General features: G+C 39.9%; 1 protein-coding gene across 16 annotated transcripts in view, besides 1 other annotated feature; it reads right to left on the bottom strand.

Annotated features, from left to right (window-relative positions):
- RBFOX1 (RNA binding fox-1 homolog 1) overlaps window positions 1-26,392 on the bottom strand; it is a 2,473,620-nt gene that overhangs the window by 1,580,785 nt on the left and 866,443 nt on the right. The window lies entirely within an intron of this gene.
- Window positions 7,922-8,439: an enhancer, noted in NCBI's record as "NANOG hESC enhancer chr16:6174118-6174635 (GRCh37/hg19 assembly coordinates)". NCBI's record gives its function as "activates a minimal SCP1, AML or CMV promoter by ChIP-STARR-seq in naive H9 embryonic stem cells {active_cell/tissue: H9 hESC(naive)}" and the evidence as "EXISTENCE:reporter gene assay evidence [ECO:0000049][PMID:30033119]".

Raw genomic sequence — 26,392 nt, 5'->3', positions numbered from 1 at the left:
ATGGCAGTAGGTACCGTACTGGTCAGGAAAGAGAAGGCTATACCATACTAACAAGTGACTCCAAGACTTCGATAAATGAACGCAACAAACATCAATTTCCTGCTCAGTAAAACTAGCTCAGGAATTCAAGCTGCTTCATGTCACACCTGTGGTAACCGTATCTGTGGTATCTACATGCTGTGGTAACTGCATCATGCATTCGCATGATTCTATGCTAGAAGAAACAATGGACAAGTCACACATTTCAGTGAGCAAAACTAGTCACAGAGCTCCACCTAACTGCCAGGGGGCTGGAAATAGAGAAGAGCCAAGGGAATACTTGCTGAGCATTGCTGTTGCTGCCGAAAGTGTCCCCCATGATCGTGAAATCTTAAAGTCACATACCACCCATGGGGAAAAAGGTTCCAGGGCAGTCAGACATTTTCTTCTCTCTCAATTGGTCGTTAAAAGCTGGTATAAAGTAGATCTCGCTCCTTTGTGAACTAAAGCGTGTTAAGCTTCTATTTGGCAAAATAAAATAATCATACTAAACAATATATGCTCCTAAAAGCTAATTAAAGAGCAAGCTCAAATCATCACGAAGGCAGATCAGTTTTAAGCAAAGCTTCTTAAGTGTCATTATCCGCCAGACGTGCATACAAAGTGTTTTGTGAATTTTTCCTTCATCCTATCTTTAACCTCTCAAACAGCCGCCTACAGAGAGCCAGAGAGTGGCAGGAGAATGTGTTACCACCAGCAGCACATGTGAGCCTCTCCACATTTATGAAGGATGATTACATAACTATGATGAGAAGGAATTTTTCTCACTTTCCAAGGAAGGCCAGTGGGGAGGAAATGGGCTTTTATAACTCCAGAGTGATTCAATGAGATTAGTCAGTAAAATACCTTTATGACCAAAGAGAGTAGCTACTATGTTGATATGGTGAATCTTGAAAGGAGCAATTCCGCAACTTCTGTCCACACAGTTTTATAAACTTGAGAGTCATCTGGGGAGTGGAATAGATTGGAGATGCTTCCCTCTGTTCCAGATGTTCTGGATCAGAATCTTAGAGGGTGACTTTCAGAAGCTGCATTTAAATAAGTGACTCTAGAGCAAGGGGTAGTAAGCTTTCTAGAAAGGGCTAGATCATAAATATTTTAGGTTTTTTCTGCCATAGTCTCTATCTCCACTACTCAACTGTTACCTTAGTGCAAAAGCAGCCTTTGACAATACGTAGATAAATCAGTACAGCAAAGTACCAATAACATTTTGTTTACAAAAACAAGTGGCAATACATGGGGCTTAGGCTAATAAAGATTTAAAGACTTTTGATAAATGTGTACACACATATAACTAACACTCCGATCAAACACAGAGTATTTCCATCACACTAGGTAGTCCTCTGGTGCCCCTTCCTAGTCAGAACCCAAAGCTCTAAAGGAATGAGTGTTCTGAACTTTCTCACCATAAATTTGTTTTTTCTACTCTTGAGCATCATATAAATGGAAACATAGAGTATGCATGCCTATCTGGCCTCTTACGCTCTTTATAATGTATATGAGATTCATCCACATCAGTGCATACATCACTGCTGATCTGGTTATGAATGTTTTTTCAATCAGAGAGAGTTGTTGATTGCAAATTTGTCTACAACTATGACTGCAGATTTATCTATTACTGGCTTTAGTTTTGTCAACTTCTGCTTGATGTATTTTGAAGCTGTTTATTAGCAGCATACATATTTAGGGCTGTTATATCTTCCTCATGAATTAACCATTTGATCATTCTGAAATGTCTCTTTTCCACTTTGCTAATACTTCTTCCCCTGAAGTCAACTTTGACAGTAATACAGACACACCAGCTTTCTTATCCTTACTATTCATATGGGATATAGTTTTCCACTCTTTTACTCAATCTAACTGTGTCTCTGTATTTAAGACGAGTCTCTTGTAGTCAGCAAATAACGGATTCTTGCTTTTTATTATAGTCTGACAATCTCTGCTCTTTAAGTGGAGTGTTTAGTCCACTTGCACTTGGTGAAATTATTTCTATGGTTGTCTTTCAAGCTTTTGCCTTCTAGTTTTCACATCCATATGTTTCATTTTATTCCTTATTTCTTGACTTCTTTTTTATTAAGCAAATCCTTTTTGCATTACATATACATTTATTTTTAAAGCTATATTCTATTCATTTTTAGGCATGGTAGGATAAACAATATGTATCCATAACTTATCAGAATCTTTTTACAGTTCATATTATGTGGCTTCTGTTAAAATATAAAAACTATAATAAAACTGTATTTCCTACTCAGCATCATACATTTGCACAGTAGTCATAAATCTTACATGTGTATACTTAACAAACCCAAGAATAAAACTGTATCATTTTTATTGTAAACTATCTGTTTTCCCCAAATAAATTAAGAGAAGTGAAAGCATATACATTAATATACCTATGGTAGACCTATGTGTCTACCATTTCAACTATTTTTACTTCATTATATCAGAGCTTCCTTCTGCTCTCATTTCCTTTCATATTTGATCATGTCCCTTGCATTTCTTGTGCTGCTGACACATTCCCTCTACTGTCCTTTAGATGAAAATGTGTTTATTTCACCTAATTTTTAAGAATATTTTTGCCAGTCATACAATTCTGTGTTGACAGTGTTTTGTTTTGTTTCTTTCTGAACTTTAAAGATGTCATATGATTGTCTTCTGGCCTCCACAGTTTCTATGAGAAATCAGTTACTGTTTGTACCATTCATCCCCTGCATTTTATATTTCCTTTTTCACTGGCTGTTTTCAATATTATCTATGGTTTTTTTTTTTCGTCAATATGACTGATGTCTGAGTTTAGTTCTTTTTTTTTTTTTTAATTCTACCTGTATTTAACCTGATCTACTAATCTTCTTGGACCTGTAAATGGATGTTTTTCATTAACTTTGGAAAATTTTCACCGCTTACTTCAACTGTTTTTTCTATCCTATTCTCTCTCTCCTCCCTACCTCTATGCTTTCAATCACAGATATATCAGACTACTTGATACTCTCCCACAGATCTCTGACTCTGTTTATTTTACTACCTTTGTTTCCTTTTGTATTCTTCAGATTGAATAATTTTCTGTTCTGTCTTCAAATTCACTAGTCCTTTCTTCTATAGTCTTCAATCTACTGTTAAACTGTTCAAGTGCCTTGCTTATTTCAAATATTTTACATTTCCTTTCTAAACTTTCCATTTGATTCCTTTTTATGACTTCCATTTTTTTTCCTGGGATCCCTTGTTTATTCATTTAAGTAACACAATCTTCTCTTTAAGTCTTCAACATATTTACAATTGTGGTTTTAAAGTCATTTCTGATTATTCTAATATCCATGACACATCAGGGTCTGTTTCTGTTTGCTTTATTTTGTATCTTGCTATAGGTCACATGATCCTGTTTATTCATATGTTTAATAAATTTTGTGGTATGTTGAACAAGATGCATAATGCATTATAGAAATCCAGATTGTGCTAATAATGTTTTCTTCTGAAAGGTGCTGAATTTTGTTCATGCAAGTGGTTAAATGACTAGAGTGTCATTTGATCCTGTTGTGCTAGGTTTTATCCTTTGTCAGGTGGGTCTGTTTCCATCTTGAACTTAGTCAACAGGCATGGTCTTATTCTAGTGAAACTGGAACTTAGTCCTCAGCATGGGCATTCTGGGGTTTCCACTTGATTGCACAAGGTGTTGCATAAGGTCTCCCAACTCTGGGTTGCTTGGATCCCAAGTGCCCCAGCACTGCACAGATTCTTGTTTTACCATCTAGCTCAGAGCACTGCATCAACTGATCTCTGATCTCCGGTGAAGTCTGTCACCCTGGACATGGATAGTCAGCCAAGGACCAGCTGTAAAATTCCATGCAGACTTATGAGCATTCCCCCTGCACATATTCCTCTTTTGTGGCACCTGACCCCAAAACGATTCCACTTCAGAATCCCAGAACTCTACTCTTCAAATCTTCAGCTCAGTGAGAACGTCACAGTGCTTGGCACCAACTACCTGCCTTGCAGCAGAAAAGGGCTCCTGGACAGAAAGCCAGAGCTTTCATGAGGCTCACCTTAGGTGTCTCCCTTCTCTCCAAGATCACAGAGCTGCCTTTTGATCAATGCTTAAAAAGAGTAGCCTTAGGTATTTCATTGCTTTCAGTCTGAGGACCAACCTGGTATCAGTTGTAGCATCATGGCTGGACACAGAAGTCTTCTTAGAGTAATAGGGTAAAATAAAAACATAATGTAAGATATATACGATTTTAAATTTTCTAATAGCTGCATTTTATTTAAAAAGTGAAAACAAATAAATGAAATTGATTAAATAATATATTGAATTTAACCCAATATATCAAAAGTTTATTCTATTGAATAATTGATACAAAAATTGTCAAGATATTTTACATTTATTTTCATAGTAACTCTTCAAATGTGTGCATTTTAGAGATATGCCTCAATTTCATCTAGCTACATTTCAAGTATTCAGAAGTACTGAGAAGTCACATGTGCCTAGTGACTTCACAGCACAGCTCCAGATATCTTTAAGCACATTAAAATTTGAGAAACACTAGACTGGAGAGGTTTTCAGATACATTTCTAGCACCCCCAAGAATATTAATCAATGCACGCTTCCCTTATTCAATTCTCTGAAGTGAGAAAATGCTCAGGTCAAAAACTTCCCTTTTCTCCAACAAAAGTAAAGAAAAAAATTTTTTTTAGGTTTTACAAATGCAAACCAAAGTAGCTGTTACAAAAGTAGCAAGTCAATGTCACTCAACTGAGAATTTGTTATTAACATCCCATTTTTCCCGGAGTGTTGAACATTTATTTAATGGTGTGACCTTTCTTAGGTCTTGATTTCTAAATCTATGATGTGAACAAAGCCATAAACTGTCCTTGCTGGGACGCAGGGTGGTTTAAAATTGACTGGAGAACAGAATTATTTGAAAAGGTCCCACATGAATCTTCTTTAGAGACTTACCACCACCTAACCTGCAATTCATTTCTGCAAGGTCAACTTAATTCTCACTTTCGGAATTCAAAGCTACGTGTTTCTAAGGCCCACAGACACATCACTTCACATCTTTCAAATCCCTGCCTTGCCTACGTCAGGGCTTGGCATATAATGCTCAAACATTTCTTGAATTAAAAGGTCCACATGAACAGAGAGCAATTTTTAAAAAAAAATAATGGGAACTAGAGCAGGTGCTTGAATAAGGTGAAACAGGAGAAAAACAATACTGGAAAACAATTTTTTTTTTTTTTAAAAAAAGAGAGAGACAAAATAATCTGAGATATGGAATAGGTTTGTTCTGCTGTTTAAACCCAAACCTTTGACTCCATCTAGGGCAGTCCTCCTCATTACCCTCTTACTCCATTCAACCCATGTTGACATCCTTCCAGTTTCTCCAACAGGTCACATTTGTTCCTAACCTGAGGCCTATGCACTTGCTGCTACCTCTGAGATGTTCTTCCCATGGATGTGGGTCCAGCTTGATTCCTTCCCCCTCTCTAAGCCTTAGTGGAAACACCGTCTTTTCAGAGAGCCTTCCCCGACCATCCTATATCGATGAAACCCTCCTTGTTTTTTATCTCACAACCACATTGATTTTTTTCCTAGTACCTGGCATAAGGCATAACCTGTTTCTGAGCTGTTTGCTTCTTTGTAAGCTGGCTTCTCAGGAGAGTGTAAGCCTCATGAAGGCAGGACCATTGTTTTTAATGTCTTTTCCTTCCTCCAGCTCCTAGCTCATTACCTGGTCTCTAGTAGACCCTTGAGATACATACATGTTGACTATTATGTGAATGTTATGCCTTTGGGTTTTAGAGAGTTCTGGTGTAAAAAAAGAACAAAACCTGCTCTAGTGAAAACCAGGGGAGGAGCCAGACCCCCAGAATATACATATTAAGTAAAAAGAGGCATCCCATCATACCTGACCTGGTAGCATGCACATAAATGCTGACTTGGATTACAGTCTAAAGCCATATGGAAGATAGTTTGGAACTTGACTTTACCATGTACTATGTCTGTGATCTTCGGCATATTACATAACTATCTTTGTCTGATTCCTTCTTCTAAAATGGGACACTGGAAGTATCTACTTCACAGAGTTGTAAAATTTAAATTAAAAAAAAATAAGAATCACCAGACTTGGCACATAGTGCGCATTCAATGCATGGCCACTATTAGCTATGATGACTGCCAGAAAGTGAATTTCATGGCACCAGTAGGAAGGTAAGAGAGGGCTAACACCAACGGCCTGCGAAGGTTAGGTCACTGTTCCTCGATGCGCTGGCGCTCTTGACTATCTGAAATTTTGAATGAAGTTGCTCTAGTTTGTGGGTGAATTTTCCTTTTTTGGTGTAATTCTCCATTACATTTCAAATGGGGTATTTAATCCCTCGGATTTGATTTCCTGGCTGAAGTGGAAACGAAAATGCAAGTAAACACCATATTGGAAATCTGACTGTTCAATGAATCACAGAATTCTTTTCTCATTTGTCATAGGAAAAGGATGAAGTTAAAGTTGTTAATAAGACAATCAGACTAAGCTCCTTGAGAAGCAATTATTATGGAAGACTATCCCCCCATTCCTTATAGCTTTACCATTTTAATACTGAAAGGTATTTAACTGGAAATCACTTTTTTAAATAGCAGCCTCATAATCCTTCAGAAAATCTCTCCCCGGCAGTATCAGTAGGAAGGTTTGTACATCTCACAATACAATGGGAGGAAAATAGCCTACCAACCCTTTGCCACTGATCTGTGAGAACATCCCACAGAGAGCGAGCCAAGGATGGTAATTGCATTACTCTATTTCCTGCAAATCCTGATCAACCAGAACCATCAATCCAGGTTAGACACGCATTTCTGCTGACTGCAGTCAGCTCCCAAGGCCTTTTCACCCTGGATTCAGAACCTACAATGAGGCTGCATCTGCTTTGGGTACACGATTCCCATGAATTTAATCCTTGACCAATGAGAAGTGCACTCCAGGCATATGGCATTCACATTGTTTAACTCTCCAAGGGTTATCCTCAGTTTAGGGCCCCTTGTAAAACATCAAAGAGCAAATGTGTATGAGGCTGACTCTTGGAAGGCCTAGCCATGTACCCAAAGCAGACAAACAAGATGCTCTCTCCTGGCCCTGGCAAACAAGAGCATTCCCAACACCTATTCTATTGCTTTTCCTATCTCAACAGGGGAGAAAAAGGCCCTCTTAAGTAGACCCACCTCTTCTTCTCCTCCATCTCTATCCTCCTCCATCTAGTGACTTATTATTTATAATTTCATATAAGAAAAAAACATTGTAATAATTGTAGGGAACTTAAGGATTTGGGGGCTTGACAAAGATATGACTGTAAGAGGAGGTAACACATGCACAGGGAGCTGCACAATGTCCCTTACAGTATGAGACCATCCAGAGGCTTGTGTGAGCAAGTCATCATCCAGCAGTGGATGTGGAGGATGGGGAACTCTGAGGAGGGGATCACTTGTCTAGGTGATGTCATTCAGCAGCCCCTTGGGGAGTCTCTGGGTTGGAGGCTTCCAAAGCGTTGGCTCAACTTGGAGCCTTGTAACTACAAAGACCTATTTCACCAAATGGTAAGGCTGGTGAGGCACTGTGAAATATGGAAAGCAGGCTGGTTGTAGATGGTTAAAAATCTGCTTGTTTGGGCTATTTTTAAAAAATAATTGGATGTATTAAAAAATTGAATTGGCGCCAGGCACGGTGACTCATGCCTGTAATCCTACCATTTTGGAAGGCCAAGGCGGGCAGATCACTTGAGGTCAGGAGTTTGAGACCAGCCTGGCCAACATGGTGAAACCCCGTCTCTACTGAAAATACAAACAAACAAACAAAAAACAACAACAACAACTAGCCGGGCATGCTGGTGCATGCCTGTAATCCTCACTACTCGGAAGGCTGAAGTGGGAGGATTGCTTGAACCTGGGAGGTGGAGGTTTAAATGAGCCGAGATTATGCCACTGCACCCCAGTCTGGGCAACAGAGGGAGACTGTCTCAAAAAAAAGAAAAAATTGAGTTAGGCAACAATGGGCTTTCCAGCTACCAGGTCCCAGTCTGGAGTGAAGAAATAACCCAGGGGTCAATCCCTAGGGGTCATCTTAGGCTCATTTACATTACAATAATCAAATCCTACAATACAAAGGCAATGACTCCAATAGCAGAGGGTCAGCTCTGAGACAGAGTGAAAACTTTCACGCTGGGGCTATAACTGCAAGCTTCTGTAGGGCCCAGGTGCCCATGGAGACTGAAGACTCTCTTTAGAGGGAGCTGGGTAGCAAAGGAGAATGTGGACCCAGCATGGACAAACCATCCAACATAAAAGGGAATCCAGTTTCAGTTTTTGATGCCAAATACCTCTTAGTGAAATGCTGACAAATAATACAAACTGTGTGGTGCAAACAAAACACCCAGAAGGGTGAGTTCCAGCCCACGAGTTACCAGTCTCCAGCCTATGTCTCACACTCGAGGGCAGCTAGAAACCAATGAGCCCCCCATGAAGGGAATGAACCTTTGTGGCCAAGCAAGACTTCATTTTTTTAAGCGGTATATGCTTTTCTCCTTGTATTTTTTTCTTGTGATATAATATGCCTAACATAAAATTTACCTTTTAGCTATTCTTTTTTTGAGGGAGTCTCGCTCTGTTGCCCAGGCAGTGGTACATTCTCAGCTCACTGCAACCTCCACTTCCCAGGGTCAAGACATCCCTGGACCTCAGCCTCCTGAGGAGCTGGGATTACAGGCATGTGCCAACATGCCGGGCTAATTTTTGTATATTTTGTAAAGACGGGATTTTGCCATGTTGCCCAGGCTGGTCTTGGACTTCTGAGCTGAAATGATCCACCCACCTCAGCCTCCCAAAGTGCTGAAATTACTTTTAACTATTTTTAAGTGAATAGTTCAGTGGCATTGAGTACATTCACAATGTTATACAACCATCGCTGCTACCCTTTTCCATAATTTTATCATCTTCCCATACTGAGACTCTGAATTCACTAAACAATAACTCCTTATTCCTCACATTTCAGCCCCTGGTAACCTCTATTCTACTTTCAGTTTCTAAGTATTTGACTACTTTAGTATCCCTAGAAGTAGAACCATATAGTATTTGTCCCTTTATATCTGGTTTCTTTCACTTAGCATAATGTTTGCAAGGTTCATCCATATTATAGCACATGTCAGAATTTTATTATGTTATAATGGACAAATGATTTTCCACTGTATATATGTACCACATCTTATTTATTCATTCATCCATGGATGGACATTTGGGTTGTTTCCACCTTTTGGCTATTGCAAATAATTCTACAATAAACACTGGTATACAAGTATCTGTGCAAGATTCTATTTTCAGTTCCTTTGTGTGTATTCATAGGAATGGAAATGCTGCATCATAAGGCAATTTTAGGTGTAGCCTTTTGAGGGATCTCCTAAAATTTTGCAATGTTCCTAAGTACCTCCCTAAGTTATGCAAAGATTTTCTTCTGATAGCCATGTGTGTTAAAATGCTAATATTCTCCAGAGAACAGCAGTTTACATATTTCCAATAGTTTTTTTTTTTATGGTTTGCTGAAAAATTGTTTTATTTTTCTACTGGTGGTATTTCAGTCTTTTAAACTAATATCTTTTCTACTTATCCTGAAGCTTATTGGCAGTAACTTTGGTGCTTTAATCAGAGAGTATATTTTATACACACACACACACACACACACACACACATACACACACATAGCCACACAGATCATATTCCGCAACCCAGCAGAATGGATGACAAAGGTCCCGTGGCTTTTTTTTCCCATTAACTGAAAAGATAAAGTTACTCCTTTCCCCTTCAATAAGGGAAGAGCCAGTGAGCCCCAGGGTGCTGACTCAGCACATTGGCCACCCACTGTCAGTCAATCATTAATGGGGAGCGGGTGTCACACGGAAGGCCTAGTCAGCACAATATAAGCCTGGATGTGACAAATAGCCCATGCAGGGATGAGGCTCCATGGCAGGGTATTATGTCTTCAGAGATTAACTCGAATGAGAAAGTGGTGAAAATAGCAAAGAAAAGGATTAGGGAATTCATAAAGTGCATTTGTTCATTCAAGAATTCCCAGCAGGTTGAAAGCTCCTTTAAAAATGTGTGTGTGTGTGTGTGTGTGTGTGTGTGTGTGTGTGTTTATCTTTTAGACACAAGGTTCTGTTATAAATAACAGAAATACACAAATTATTGAGGACTGTTCCCCACTGTCAAGAGGCTCACAGACTAGCAGATGAGACAATCAGGACGTTAATTAAAAGAAAATAAAAACATTAAAAAATAACAAAAAGGGCCAGGCACAGTGGCTCACGCCTGTAATCCCAGCACTTTAGAAGACCAAGGTGGGCGGATCATCTGAGGCCAGGAGTTCGAGACCAGCCTTGCCAACACGGTGAAACCCCATCTCTACTAAAAACACTAAAATTAGCTGGACATGGTGGTGCATGCCTGTAGTCCCAGCTACGCAGGAGGCTGAGGCAGGAGAATTGCTTGAACCCCGGAGGCAGGGGTTGCAGTGAGCAGAGATCATGCCACTGCACTCCAGCCTGGGTGAGACAGTGAATGAGACTCTGTCTCAAAAATAAAATAAAATAACAAAAAGAGTCATTGACTACTAACTCTGTCTTAGGCATTTTACAGGTATTGCCTCACTTAATCCCACAGTCATCCTTTAAAGATAGGTACCATTAGTTATTCCTTCTTTTACAGAGGAGGAAACAGTCTGAGAGAGATCAATGAACTTGTTCACCTTCACCCAGCTGGTAAATGTAGAAAGCAGACTAGCCCTGACACCCTTGACCTTAAGAGCTCCCCACCTGTTAACCACCATGCTACACTAAGCTCCCAGAGGAACAGATGTCCCCACTGAGTTGAGCCTCAGAAGGATGAGCAGGAATGCTCCCTTAGACAAGGCAGGCACAGTGTACAAGCAAATGGAGTGACACAGTCAGACACAGCAAAAACAAAAAGGTTAATGTGGCTGGATCATTCCTGGAGGCTAGAATTTGGGGGTACTGGGTACGGGCAGTGGCCTGAGATGAAGAGAAGCAGGTAGGATCAAGGATTTCAAGCATCATCACTTTCCCTGGTGTTTCTCCAAAGGTGGTCCACAGCACACTCAGCACACTACAGGTGGCCCACCATGTAGACAGGCCAGCTTGTATCACACCCACTGGGGCACCTTGTAAAGAATACAGACTCCTGAGGCCCTCACAGACACATTAAGTCTGTGTCTCAAAGCAGAGTCTAGAGTCTCATGTTTTGACCAGCTCTTCAGGCGTGTCTTGTACACACTGAAGTTCCCATAAACCTGCAGTGCATGTATTTTGATGGGTTGGCAGGGCTGTGCCTGGACATACAGGACACACCAGGTGCACACTCCCAACAGGCCAGTTGGACAGGAAGATTTGTTATCAAGATATGGTTGATTGTAATATTAGGACACACATGAATAAATCATAAAGTAGAATGTAAAATTACAAAATGCATTCATGTAAGATCAAGTGTGAAAACTCTAGGAAATAATAGAAATAAATCTGCAGGAAGAACAAGCTGTTTCACACAACAGCCCCAGACTTCGTTCTCCTCTCTTCTCTTCACCAGCCCCCACCATAAATCCAGAAGCATGTGTTCTGTACACCAGAAATGTTTGGATAAAAAAGAGAGTGAGGGGCTGCAGTGAATGTTAGCAGCACCAGAACTGACGTCTTACAAAGAGGAGAAACGCAGGGACAGATCTGAGTTGCTAAAAGGTTACTCAGACATCTGAATTCAGAGCCACAAGCAAGAACATAAAAGAGCCTGAGAAGGAAAGGGAAAATTAATATTAATAATTAATAACAATAATTATTATAAGCAGCTAATATATTCACTGAGCCAAGATGATTTCTTTATATAATCCTCATATAACAAACACGGGGTAGGTATTACCAGTGTACCTATAAAACCCATGTGGAAACTGAGACTGAGACAAATTATACGACCCACCCAAGATCCCATGACAAGCAAGATGGTGGAGAGGATGCCATTCACTCCAGTGCCCCCTTAGGAAAGCACAACATAGGAAATTTGTTTACAAAGAGAATGGAATCCTCCAACATTGCTGATGGAAATGTAAAATGGGGTGGCTGCTGTGGGAAACAGCTTGCTGATGCCTCAGTAAGTTGAACATAGAGCTACTGCATGATCCAGCAATTCCACTCCTAGGTATGTGCCCAAAAGAACTGAAAACATGTACTCAAACAAATACTTCTCCATAAATATTCATAGCAGCTATTTACGTCAAGGAAATAATGAAAACAACGCAAATGCTAATCAACGGATAAATACATAGTCTATCCATACAGTGGAACGTTATTCAGCCATAAAAGGGAATGAAGCACTGATGTGTGCTACCACATGGCTCAACTTCAAAAAAACTCTATACTAAATGTAAGAAGTTGGACACAAACAGCCACATACTGTATGATTCTGTTTACACAAAATATCCAGAAAAGGAAAATCTATACATAGAGAAAGCAGATTAGTGATTGCTAAGGGCTGGGGCAGAGGAGAAGGAATAAGAGTGACTGCTTACTGGATACAGGGTCTCCTTCTAGGGTGATAAAAATGTCTTAGAACTGGATAGAGGTAGCGGTTGCATAACATTACGAATGTGCTAAATTCCACTGAAATGTGCACTCTAAAAAGGTTAATGGGGCCAGACATGGAGACTTGTGCCTCTACTCCTAGTGTTTCAGGAGGCTGAGGGAGGATTGCTTAGGGTCACGAGTCTGAAACCAGCCTGTGGATACCCTGTGGAATGATTTGAGCCACAAAAATAAATAATGACAGTTTTAGATTATAGCTCACCTTCAAAATAAATGTTGAGTCAATAATGATATAAATACTGAATAAATGGAGGAGAATGAAAAATGCTTCCTTACACAAGTGTTCCAATGAATACATGTACAGGGCATGAGAGGAAATTGAAAATCACCATTGGGCCATCAAAGTAATAAATTAGTGTACTTTTAAGTTCAAAGGTTAAAAACAATCTTACCATGAAGAAACTTGGCAAATGCCTTCTCAACTAAGTGATCAAGGCTAATATCACTAGTAATAAGATATAAAGACATCGTTGACCCTCCATTGTGATCTGCTAAGGACACATCACTTTTGTGGCATCCCTTCCAAGAACACATAAATTCATTCTACTCAGGGTCAAACAGCAGATAATCTGAGCTGAGAAATATCCCCTTAAAAATTCTAAAATTAATATTAATAATTAATAACAATAATTATTATAAACAGCTCATATTCATTGAGCCAAAATGATTTCTTTATATAATCCCCATCTAAGAAACATGGTGTAGGTAATGCCATTATATCTGTAAAACCTATGTGGAAACTGACACTCGGACATATTATATGACCCACCCAAGATCCCATGGCAAGCAAGATCAAACGTATCAAAGTCATGAAAGATCAAAAAAAAAAAAAACCTGAGGAATTGTCACAGATTCACAGACTGGAGGGAACTAAGGTAAAATGGTCTGAATGTTAGTGCCCTCCCCATATTCACATGTTGAAACCTAATCACTAATGTGATGGTATTGGGAGATGATTAGGTCATGGGACAAGAGCCCTCATGTGCAGGATTAGTGAAGAAGATGGGGAAAGAGAGAAAGAGGAAGGAGGGAAGGAAGGAAGGAAGGAAGGAGAGAGAGAAAGAGAGGGAGAAAGAGAGGGAGAAAGAGAGAAGGAAGGAAGGAAGGACAGAGAGAGAGAGAGAAAGAGGGAGAAACAAAGAAGGAAGGAAGGAAGAAAGGAAGGAAGGAAGAAGGAAGGAAGGAAGGAGAGGGAAAGAGAAAGAAAGAGAGGGAGAGAGGGAGGGAGGAGAGCAAGAGAGACAGAGAAAGAGAGGGAGAGAAGGAGAGAGAGAAAGAGAAAGAGAAAGGAAGAGAACAAGGAGGAGGCGGAGGCGGCGGCAGCAGCAGCCACTGCCGCCATCCAAGACAGCTACCTTGACCCTTACACCGTGTGATGACATGGCAACAAGATGCCATCTATGATTCTGGAAACCAGCACTCACCAAACATTGAATCTGCTGGTGCTTTGATTTTGGACTTTCCATCCTCCATAACTATAAGAAATAAATTTCTTTTTAAAAAATCTACCCAATGTAAGGTATTTTGTAATAGCATAATAGGAGCCTGAGTGGACTGAGACATAAGGTGATATGGCAACTAAAAACAATGTGGAATAATGGATTGGATCCTGGAAGAGAAAAAGAGTAAAAGAACTGGAGTAAAATCTTGTAAACTCAATGAAGTATATATTTCAGTTAACAGCATGGTCTTAATGCTAACTTATTAGTTTCTATTATTGTATTATGGTGATATAAAATGTTAATACTCAGAGAAGATGGGTGAAGACTATACAGAAATTCTCTGGACTACTTTTGCAACTCTTATGAAAGTGCAAAATTATCTCAAAAAATTTTTAAATTATTTACAGCTGCTACTTCAAAAGTTACAGATGTCCATCTTGTGTTCTTACTAGAAATATTTCGCTTTATCACCAACAAAATTACTGCTTTCACTGTGTTTAGAAGAAAATATTTAATCATGGTGGTGGGAAGGAAACTAGATCATTAGGGGAAGTAGAATACATAAAAAATCTTAAAGAAAACTTGACTATGTCTTTTTTCCAAATATTTTAAAGATAACTCATCTTAGATAGCGTCTTACTCCATTTTGTGCAGCTATAACAAAATAACTGAGAATGGGCAATTTATAAAGAACAGAAACGTATTTCTCACAGTTCTGGAGGCTGGGAAGTTCAAGACCTAGGTGCCAGCAGGCTCAGTTGTTGAGTGAAAGCTACATCCTCCAGAGGAGAGGAATGCTGTGTCTTCACACGGCAAAAGGCAGAAGGCCAAGAGAGCCAAATGCTACCAGAAGCCTCTTTGTACAATGGGCTTAATCTCATTTATGAGGGAGGAGCCATTCTGGCCTAATGGCATCTGAATGGCCACACCTCTTAATCCTATCACATCGGCAACACCAGAATTTTGGAGCGGAACCATTCAAACCATGAAAGGTGATCTAATATTGTATGGTGAACATAATTGTTATTAGTTCTGATCATTTGAAATGCATAATGAACTTGGAAACGAAGGTGAAGCTGTCTTCTGAGTTTTAAAGGTAATTGTCATGCATATTTTTTTTTGTACGTTTAGCATACTTCCAAACATGTCCACAAATTCCTAGGAATTTACACACTCATAGTAATTTGTGGCTTTAATTCTTTACCCCCTGAACTCTCACCCTTTTCACAGGGAATCCCGTTCATTTGGGTCTGGCTTACCCAAGAATGGAACTCAGCATCTCAGCCTTTATTTATCTACAACTACTCCAAGAAGGCTTTGGTGAGGGCATCAGACTTTAATGAAGTTTGGAGTTGCAGAGGAATTTTAAATCTTGGACACACACCCTATTCAGAACTAGATGTTTAATACTCTAGCTCTTGAAAGGACTTCTAGTATCTGCCAACGGAGATTATCCCAATACCTTTACTGTAGAGCCTCCAGCATCTCTCTCCCTCTGTCTCCCAATTTCATCTTATCTCTTCTCAATACCTTTACTGTACAGCCACCAGCCTCTCTCTCCCTCTGTCTCCCAATTTCATCTCATCTCTTCTCTGCTGTCCCATGTCTCTAAATTCCTAGTAATATCTTATTCACGGGAGTTCTGTTTTCTCCCCTATCAGCTGAGGTATGTGTACTTGCAAATAACAAGAAGCCCAACTCAGACTTGATTAAACGGCAATGAAAGATGCTGTCGCACATAACAGGAAACCCTGGGCACTCTAGCATTTATACAAGCTAGCAGATATTTTTAGCTTCAGAAGTTCCTCTTCACTCTGCTCCTCTCCTCACCTGCACTGGCTTCATCTCCAAGCAGGTGGGTAAGTGGCTGCAGCAGTTGTGGTTATCATATTCATGTAAGAAAATCTCCACTGCAATGCATGGTAGTATCTTCCTACAGCCTTCTTGGTAATAAGAAAACTTTGATTAACAGCTTTTTAAAAATTATTATTATACTTTAAGTTATGGGATACATGTGCAGAATGTGCAGGTTTGTCAGAAAGGTATACACATGCCATGGTGGTTTGCTGCACCCATCAACCTGTCATCTACATTAGGGATCTCTTCTAATGCTATGCCTCCCCTGCCCCCCACCCCCTGACAGGCCCTGGTGTGTGATGTTCCCCTCCCTGTGTCCATGTGTTCTCATTGTTCAACTCCCCTTTATGAGTGAGGACATACGGTGTTCGGTTTTCTGTTCCTGTGTTAGTTTGCTGAGAATGATGGTTTCCAGCTTCACCCATGTCCCTAAAAAGACATGAACTCATCCTTTTTTATGGCTGCATAGCATTCTATGGTGTATATGTGCCACATTTTCTTTATCAAGTCTATCACTGATGGGCATTTGGGTTGGTTCCAAGTTTCTGCTATTGTGAACAGTGCTACAACAAATATACATGTGCATGTGTCTTTATAGTAGAGTGATTTATAATCCTTTGGGTACTAGAGATATTTATACCTCACTAGTGCACATAGTATTACTTTCCTATTCCTTAACAAATCTGTGTGGGTCAGGAGAATACCACAGCTCAGGAGAGCAGAGGCCTGAGTCCCTGGAGATTATCATATGTAATGTAGACCAGGGATTGGGGAATTATGACCACAAGGCAAACCTAGCCCACTGTGTAGCTTGGTAAATAAACTTCACAAATAAACAATAAGTAGTTGCAAGAAAGACTGTTCGGCCCACAACACAAAAATCCTGGGTCTTTCTAGAAAAAGTTTGCTGACCACTAGCTTAGAGTAAAGATATGCTATACTTGGAATTTATCTCAGCAATCTTATACCACCTGGCTGCCATGCAAGGACAGAGGGGAAAAAAAACAGACGTTATGCAGACAAGTACAGATCTCACTATAGCCCACCCCTTGGGCCAGCCAATATGCACAAATCTATTAAAGGGCTACTCTGTTAAGACATCCTCACTACTGCATATGGCTTCAATTCACTTTATTTTATAAAATTATCATAATAATAAAGACCTCTTTTTGCCTTTTCTCTGGAAAAATTTAAAGCATGCAATCCTATGCAAGCCCTTTAATTTGTACTTGTTACATTCTAAGGGGCAGTGAAATCCTAAAACTTAAAGTTTATACTCCACATTATGCCAACTATTTCTTACAAGAATCCTAGTTAGGTAGGAGACTGGCAGGACATATTTCTGGGTCCTGACAGGATGAAGTAAAAATAAAATGGCAGGAACTAGTAAATGGTGATAAAAGCAATACCCAGATACCCTCACGGCTCGTTAGCAGAAGACACTAGTGTTATGATAGTTTACAAATGCCATGGCAATCACCTGGAAGTTACTACCCCTTTCCATGACAACAACCTGGAAGCTACTGTTCCTTTCCTGGAAAGTTCTAAATAACCCACCCCTCAGTTTGCATTAACTTGTCCCTTAATTTGCATGTAACTGAAAATGGTCTAAGTCAGTGTAAATATAGTTGTGAATAGCCCGTATGTTGCCAACTCTGGGCTCAGTGCCTATGAGTTAGCCCTCCTCTGCAAGGAGCCATATCATTCAATAGAAGACTGCTGTCTAACACCATCTGCTTGCACATGAATTCTTTTGCAGGTGAAGCCAATAATCCTCCCAGGCTAAGCCCCAACTTTTGGACTTGCCCGTCCTGCATCACTAGCCATTAGTCATCCTAAACCTTAATACATTCTAACATACATTTCAAAGGGGTTTGGTGCCAACAGACAAGGCAAGCATATCATTGTTTGTCTCATAAAAACAGTATCAGAAAGACTGAACTAAAGGCAGTGTTAGTAGTCCATAAGTTACGCCCCCTCCAAGAAAACTTTTATGCCATTGATTCTAATTGACAAGTTCCATTAGAAAAATGAGGAATAAACAACTATAAATATAACTGCAGCAACTATTGCCTTTTTATACTGTAAGTAATGAGATCCAAAAAGCTACGTACACACAAAAAGGTGATGCTCATGCTAGAATTTTCTCATTGTCTTCAATTTCAAAGACAGTCCAACAATTTAATGCCGCATGAGATATTATTCTTAATTGCATAAGATGGAAATAAAATTCCTCAAAGACTGTAACCGTAAAATGGTCAACGACAGAAGAATTTCCTCACTGAAATCAGATGAGAGATCACTCTTAATTGCATAAGATGGAAATAATATTCATCCAAGAATCTAACTGTAAAATAACCAACAAGAGAAGAAGTTCATTGCTAAAATCAGATCATTCTGTAATAACACAAAACTTTTTTCTTTGTGAATATGAGAGAAGATGAAGGGAGAAAAAAAATAATGAGAACATACCTATCTAGAGATTGACAACTAGGAAGAACGGTAAATAATTTCTCCCCAGGTGGCAGTAGTTTGAATAGTCATGCTTAGTCCTAAGTGAAACCTCTTTGACAGAAACCTGCTCTATTTAGAACAGCTGGATACCAGCCCTAGAGTATCAGATCGTAATAATGAAATGTCATTATTATGCCGGTGGTGATACAGGTTTCTCTGGGATGGGAGCAAAGGAGAACGGCCTGGCAGTGGAATAACAGATGTAAAAAGACACAGAGACCACGGCCTGTCTGACGCCTTCAAATCAATTCAAGACAACAAACATTTCTAGAGTGTATGTTACATGCTAGGCATTCTGCCACTCCCATAACTCCAAATGTGGGTGAAGCCCAAGGTCCAGTTTCAGCTTCTTCTTTTCTCCCTCCTCATACCCCTCTGGTGTCCTTAGTCTTGCCCTTCACTGTGAGGAACAGAGAGCATGACTTCACGGCTTCAATATCAACAAATGCGGAGACAGGCAATTTCTGCCTTTGCTTCAAGAGCTGTGTCTCTGTGATGCTCCTGGCCATCTCATCATGCCCACAGGATGGCTGCCACAGTACCATCAACAAGTCCACACAAAATCTTGCACTTTTCATCACCCAGAAAAATTTCCTTTTATGTCGCTGTGGTTCTTCTGGCTCTTTACTTCCCTGAAGTAGTATTAAAAAACACATCAGTATCATAGCCTAATGGTGGCTATGTTGATGCTTAACCTTGGATTTGGCCACATAACTTGCTTTGGCCAATGAGAGGTGAGAGGAAGTGATGTGAGCAGAAGCTTAAAATGCCCTTTTGCAATCGGCCTCACCCTCTTGTCCATCTGTAATTCACCAAGAGAAGAAAATGTCCAAAGAAGTCTCTGGTCTAAGGAGGATGAAAGACACCAGGGCAGATGTGAACTCAACTTGCATCTTGGAGTCTACAATCCAGTCCGGACTAGCCACATAGCACTCACATGCCTGCTTATCCACAGACTCAGGAGTAAGCAAAGTTATCTGAGGAACTATGCTTTAGGATGGTTTGTTACACAGAACCATGGTGGCAATAGCTGTCTGATACATTTTTCTTGGCTTCAATGGTGCTTCCTTGCCATTTCTAGGCCCAAATGAAGTTAAAAATGCAAACAATAAACAGGAGATACTTAAAAGCTGATGTAGCAAATTACTTTCCAACACTTTCCAACTCCCCTCTACAAAGATTTCCAAACCAGTCAATCCTACTCTGATCTCTCAGATACAAAATCCTCCAAATGCCCGCTAAGTATTTCACTCAGACATGTCCCTTCTTTATATCAAACTCTGGGCATGTGAAAACGATTCCACTCCATCTCTCACCTCAGAACTTGCTCCAGGTGTTTTTTTGAGACGGAGTTTTGCTCTTGTTGCCCAGGCTGGAGTGCAATGGCACGATCTCAGCTCACCGCAACCTCCGGCTCCTGGGTTCAAACGATTATCCTGCCTCAGCCTCTCAGGTAGCTGGGATTACAGGCATGCACCACCATGCACAGCTAACTTTTGTATTTTTAGTAGAGACGGGGTTTCTCCATGTTGGCCAGGCTGGTCTTAAACTCCCAACCTCAGGTGATCCGCCCATCTTGGCCTCCCAAAGTGCTGGGATTACAGGCGTGAGTCACCGTGCCCAGCCTCGGACTTCTTTAACGAACCTTTATTACTCAAGTGACTACTACTCAACATGTCAAGGTAAACTTTGATTTCTCTATTAGAATGCACATATCGGATAAACATTTGAAGGACCATTTACTATATTCATTTATTTAACACTGACAAGATTCCAGACACTGTTCTCAATTCCTACCTGCATTTCATCCTATAACCCTTATAGCAGAAGTTCTTAAAGTCCACAGAATGTATTACCTTCTTCATAACAATGAAGAACTTAATGGTTAATTGGCTCCAGCTAGCTAATTGGTCTGGAATATACCAGTTATTGGCTTCCAAACCACTCTTACACTGGGCCAAGTGTTTCATGTGAAATACTTCATTCAATCTATAACATCACCTACTTTTTTTTTATCAGATCACTAAATGGAAAATGAGACAGATTAAGTTTTAGCGATCCTTTAATAATCACACCTTTAGCATATGTTTCTTAAGTCCAAAACCACTTATCCTCTGAGCCAAGTATTGTATATGGATTATTTATATCAATCCATACACTTACCCCTTTTTGTCAAATCACTTAAAAGAAGATGAGAGAGTTTAGATGGTACTGATTCTTTAGTAATCATACCACTAATGTATGTCTGAATTTCTGACCCCACTACCTATACCCAAACAATTTTCAAAAGTCTTCCTTGGTTTCTTCTCATTCCAAATCATGCTGCATTTTGCCCCAGAATTAAACTCCTTGAAATACTGCCTTCATCATCACAGTCTTCTCCTATCCTGTTACCGCCAATGACTCACATTAGAAATACCCAGTTTATTTTGATGACACATTTGTCAAAAGCCATAGTCCTGGGGCTTTGCTCTGTAACTCCAATGGGACATGCCTATAAGATTCCATCACACACTTAATATCCTTTTAAGAAATTCACTGACAAAGTGGGTGGAAGTAGAATGACAAACTTTCTTGGAAACTCCTTAACTCAAAAGGTGTTGGTGGTTTCACAGCCCACTCTGTGTATCAGGAAAGTCCAATTTTCTTATTGAAGGGCTTCAAGAAAATAAGCCCATCCCAGTTCACCATAAAACTAGTTCTAACAAGATAGCTGATTGAGTCTTGAGACAGAGTGGTTGTCACAAGGCTGATATGAGACCTGTATGTCCAACAATGGGGTGACATTGCATTTCTGTTCTGACTGATGAGACGTCTGTTCCAGCAAGTCAGTGTATGTGGCGTACTTTTCATTAAGAATTATGAATATCATTCTTGTATTGCCATTTTTCTTTATGAAATGCCCTCATGATCTCCCTCTCTCGCCCATCCTTCAAGGCAAATCACACTTCCTAAGTCTAGCATGAGGTCTGACCTCCCCATTCCACCCCTGTATAACCCATGAGAATCTCTTCCTTCCACTGAACCCTCATAAATATGCTGGTACCTATCATGACTTCCTTGAAATACTGTTTTCTGCACATGCTTTTCCCTTTACTCCACACTAGCATTTTGCAATCTCAACACTATTGACATTTTGAGCCAGGTAATTCTTTGTGGTGGGGGCTGGTGCTGTGCACTGGAGAATTATTAGCACCGTCTCTGGCCTCTACCCACTAATGCCAGCAGCACTGCCTCCCTGGTTGCAGCAGTGAAATAGGTCTCAAGGCATGGCCTAGTGTCCTCTGGCGGGGGGCAAAACTGTCCCCCATTGAGAACCACTGCTCTGGATTATACAGTTCTTGAGGACTGAGATGATATTCAACTCCTCCGTTCCTATTTCATGCCACTCGTGGAGTGTCCTTCACACAGAAAGTGCTCAATGTTAGGGCAGATTGATTTCACATTCTCATGGATCCATCTTAATTGGAGGGTTTTGTTTTTTGAAACAGCCCAGCGGGTAGTTGTTTTAATCTGCCATTAAGTCCACATCATTTCACAAATGACTGCTTAAAAATGCACACTACTTAGGTATCAATTGTGTTTGTGCAGGATACAGAATTCTGCTTCTCCTAATAGGATCATCTTCTGAAAAGGCAATCTTTTATTTTATTTTATAATTTTTTCAGTGCCTACCTAGAATTCTGTGCTATTCTCTAGCAATCATCAATTTCCAGAGAGGTTATTTATCAAGCTATAGAGAATTGTGATGATGCTGCAAAGAAGTCACAATGACCTACAAAGAAGAAGCCAGGGTACCAGAGAGCTAAAAGAATAATGAACTAAAAAAAAAAAAAAAAGAAGAAGAAAATACAGAAAACCAAAAATTAGAGTGAAAAACCTGTTGTGATCATCCACAAAATAGATGTACTTATCCATAGACAGTAGATGTGCTGATGGATTAAATATATTAATTGTTTAAATCCTTGGTTTTACAATAAATCACATGAGGTTATTTATTCCATGTGTGGTATTAACATTATTTTGATAAAGTAATAATGGTAATTATTAGAGACCCAAGATACATAAAAAAGTGATTTCCAAACATAAAAAGTAAAACCACAGGGCTACAACTGGAGAAAAGCTCTGCATTTGATTCAGTTCAACAAGATTTCTGCTCTGTTTTAAGAAATTTATATAATATCCTATTTGATGTAAAATTGAAGAAAAGAATGTAACTTATCCTTAAGCCAACTTTTTAAACCAAAATGTTGTACAAGGATTCCTGTGGCATTTCAGCTGCCCTTAAATTTTAATAATACTGATAAAATATTCTACTATCCCCAGTCAAGTAATTTTTTATCTTTAATTGGTAAGCCCTCATTTATTATTTCTAAAGCATAAAAATTCTAATATCTAGGATTTATAACTTACCCAGGCAATCGTGACTGCAAATGTATTTTTAAGTGCACTAGAAAATAGAGAAAGCAAATGAACACTAGGGAAATTTAAGTTTGGACTACAATGGAAAAAGAGTTTTTTACAACAAATATATCATCGACTAACTATATTATGCCTCATGAGTGAAAAAATTTATCTCCACAATTCCTGGGGTGATAAGAAAGGCTTTTCAGGGAATAAGAAGAAAATAAGTCAGTAGAGGAGACCCATGTCTTTCCAATATGGAATTTACCACAGATCATTTCAAAATTGACACAGAAGCTAAACCTGAAACACGGCATGAAGATTCAGTGAAATATAAATATTACATATTGATCCAAAGATGATCAAGAAATGCTTTTCACTGCAGGCATTTTTCTTTGTAAAATAAGCTTTACTAGAATATTAAAGGGGAAAGGGGGCAATGAGCTCACAGAAAACAAAAGCCACGATTCAGAAAACGCCCCCACTGATACTGACAGTGGTTATGTACATGGCATGATAAAACCATTAAGACTAAACCCCCATTCTTGTACAATGGAAAATCAAGTTTTATTTCTAACCCACTGTATTAAGCTGAATAATCGCCACCCGAAGATATCAGGTCCTAATCCCTGTAGTCTGTACATGTTAACTTGTGAGAGAAAAGGGTCTTTGTAGATGAGATTCAATTAATGATCTTCAGATGGGGTGATTATTCTGGATTATCTAGGTGGGTCCGAAATATTAATACAATCACAAGCGTCCCTATAAGAGAGAGCAGAGGGAGATCAGACGTGTACAGAAGAGGAAAAGGTGATGTGAAGATGGGGACATAGATTGGAAGGAGTCAGGGATGTGGCCACAAGCCAGTCAAGGGCAGCACCCACCAGAAGCTAGAAGAGGAAGGAGGAGACACTCCCCCAGGACCTTGAGAAGGAGATAGGCCCAGTAGCACCTCTATGTGACTTCAGAGTTCTGTCATCTAGAACTGTGAAAGAATAAATGTCGTGCTAAGCCACCAACTGTGTGACAATTTATTGCACCAAAGAACATTTATAAGCTCACCATATTTTCTGAGTGTCTGCTTCCTAATCCATCCCAACTTCTGCTATTTAATAATAAAGGAAATGATGATAATGCCACATAATAGCACAGCACCACCTACCCTGTAGCAGCATTTACTGTGTGACAGGCACTCCATTAAACACATAGCTATGTTGCATTCTTTCACCCTCATATCACAACCACCTTACAAGTGTTAGTATCTCTATTTCACAGAATAGGAAACAGAGATCCATTGTCACACGAGTACCAAATGACAGAGCTGTCAGAACTCAGAAAGCTGATTCCGGGGCCCTCTTCTATAACCACTCTGCTACACTACCCTGAGCATCATTCTTTATCTCAAGGAGAAAAAGCTTGGGTCTAAAAAACAACAGAGACATGTATATTGCATTAAATTTAGGTATCACCAATATTAAAATACATTCCTAGTCATTAAAGATTTTTTTAAGAAGTAATACATGTATGTTGGTCTCTTCATTTGATATTTGATTCTTATGATCCATTAAGTATTGATATTAATAGTGAGCCTAATATTTTCACCAGAATTAACAGCAAAAGGTAGCTGTGTGTGACATCACAGGTGGGATTTTTTTCAAGACTAATCTTAATTGATAAGGCAAGAAAGGCAATGATTTTTTTGGAGGAAACATGGCTAAAACTCTGAAATTCAATTTCCAGGAAACTGGTGGAAGCATAAATTAATAGAATCAACTATTAATTATTTCCTTCTCAGTGCTCAAAGTAAGGTATAGACAGTAAGATCTAGAAATTGCTATTCATCCACCCATCCATCCATCCACCCACCCATCCAAACACCCATCCATCCATCCACCCACCCACCCACCCACAAATCCATCCATCCATCCACTCACCCACCCACCCACCTATCCATCCACCCATGCATCTAGTCATCCTTTCATCCGTCCACCAATTCATTCACCCATTCATCTATGTATCCATCCATCCGTGCATCCATACATGTATTAATCCTGTACTGAAAGCATCTTGAACTAATGTTGTCTGAAAAGCAATATCTAACTTCATTTTAATTAATACATAGAGGATATATTATGACACTACAGTAGGGGACAAATTTATCATCCGACATCTCCGCAGATTAAGTTTAGCTTCAGAGGAGTGTGTCTTACTAAACAAAAACACAAAGATATGTACCCTGAGCATGTGGATAAGAAAGAGGTTATCTCAAAGAAGCAACACCTATTAATGCTGTGTTAGGAAAGTGACTTGCCTGGAGGGTCATTTCATGGGTAGTGAAAGGAAGACTCCAAGCCTTTCCTAGCAGACCTACTATAGATATCATCAGGTACTAGGGGGTCACCAGGCCATGATAAGCAAAGAGGCCACAGATGGGGACCCAGAAGAAACCAATGGCAAGGCCCATAACTAAAAAAACAAAAAAACAAAAAAGCAAAGGCACAACCACCACTTTCCAAGGACTGTGTTCATCTCAGCAGCAACATAAGAGGAGGCAGGTAAAAGAGGTCTTCTCTGGGCTGCTGATTATGTTTGGTTCACTCGAATGTTCTAAATGGCATTCTTCAGAGTGACTGCAGGAATTTTTTAAAAGAAGGAGGGGTGGCCAGGCATGGTGGCTCACGCCTGTAATCCCAGCCCTTTGGGAGGCCAAGGAGGGCAGATCACGAGGTCAGGAGATTGAGACCATCCTGGCTAACACAGTGAAACCCCGTCTCTACTAGAAATCCGAAAAAAAAATTAGCCAGGCATGGTGATGGGCATCTGTGGTCCCAGCTACTTGGGAGGCTGAGGCAGAAGGATGGCATGAACCCGGGAGGCAGAGCTTGCAGTGAGCTGAGATCAGGCCACTGCACTCCACCCTGGGCAACAGAGCGACACTCCGTCTCAAAAAAAGGAAAAGAAGGAGAGTCATTTTAATTCCTTATGATATGCATACTTCCATAAGAGATGGACCATACCCCTTGGCAATGAAGAGACTTTCCTAAAGTCTTTCTGAACGAAAGTCCATGACCGTCTCATTGAAGGTCAACCCATTTTTATGTGCTAACGCAGTACTATTCTTTATTTATAAGAGCATGGAACTACCTTTTTTTTTTTTTATTTTTGAGACAGATACTCACTCTTTTTGCCCAGGCTGGAGTACAGTGGCACGATCTTGGCTTACTACAACCTCCCACTCCAGGGGTCAAGCAATTCTCCTGCCTCAGCCTCCCTAGTGGAGTAGCTGATATTACAGACACCTGTCATCAAGCCTGACTAATTTTTTTTGTATTTTTACTAGAGATGGGGTTTTGCCATGTTGGCCAGGGTAGTCTGGAATGCCTGACCTCAGGTGATTCAGCCTGCCTAGACCTCCCAAAGTGCTGGAATTACAGGCAGGAGCTACTGGGCCCGGCCAAAACTACCTG

This window comes from Homo sapiens, chromosome 16 (assembly GCF_000001405.40).
Source record: "Homo sapiens chromosome 16, GRCh38.p14 Primary Assembly".
NCBI classification, from domain to species: domain Eukaryota; kingdom Metazoa; phylum Chordata; class Mammalia; order Primates; family Hominidae; genus Homo; species Homo sapiens.
Note: the sequence above shows the minus strand (reverse complement) of the source record. Positions and strands in the feature narration are given on the sequence as shown.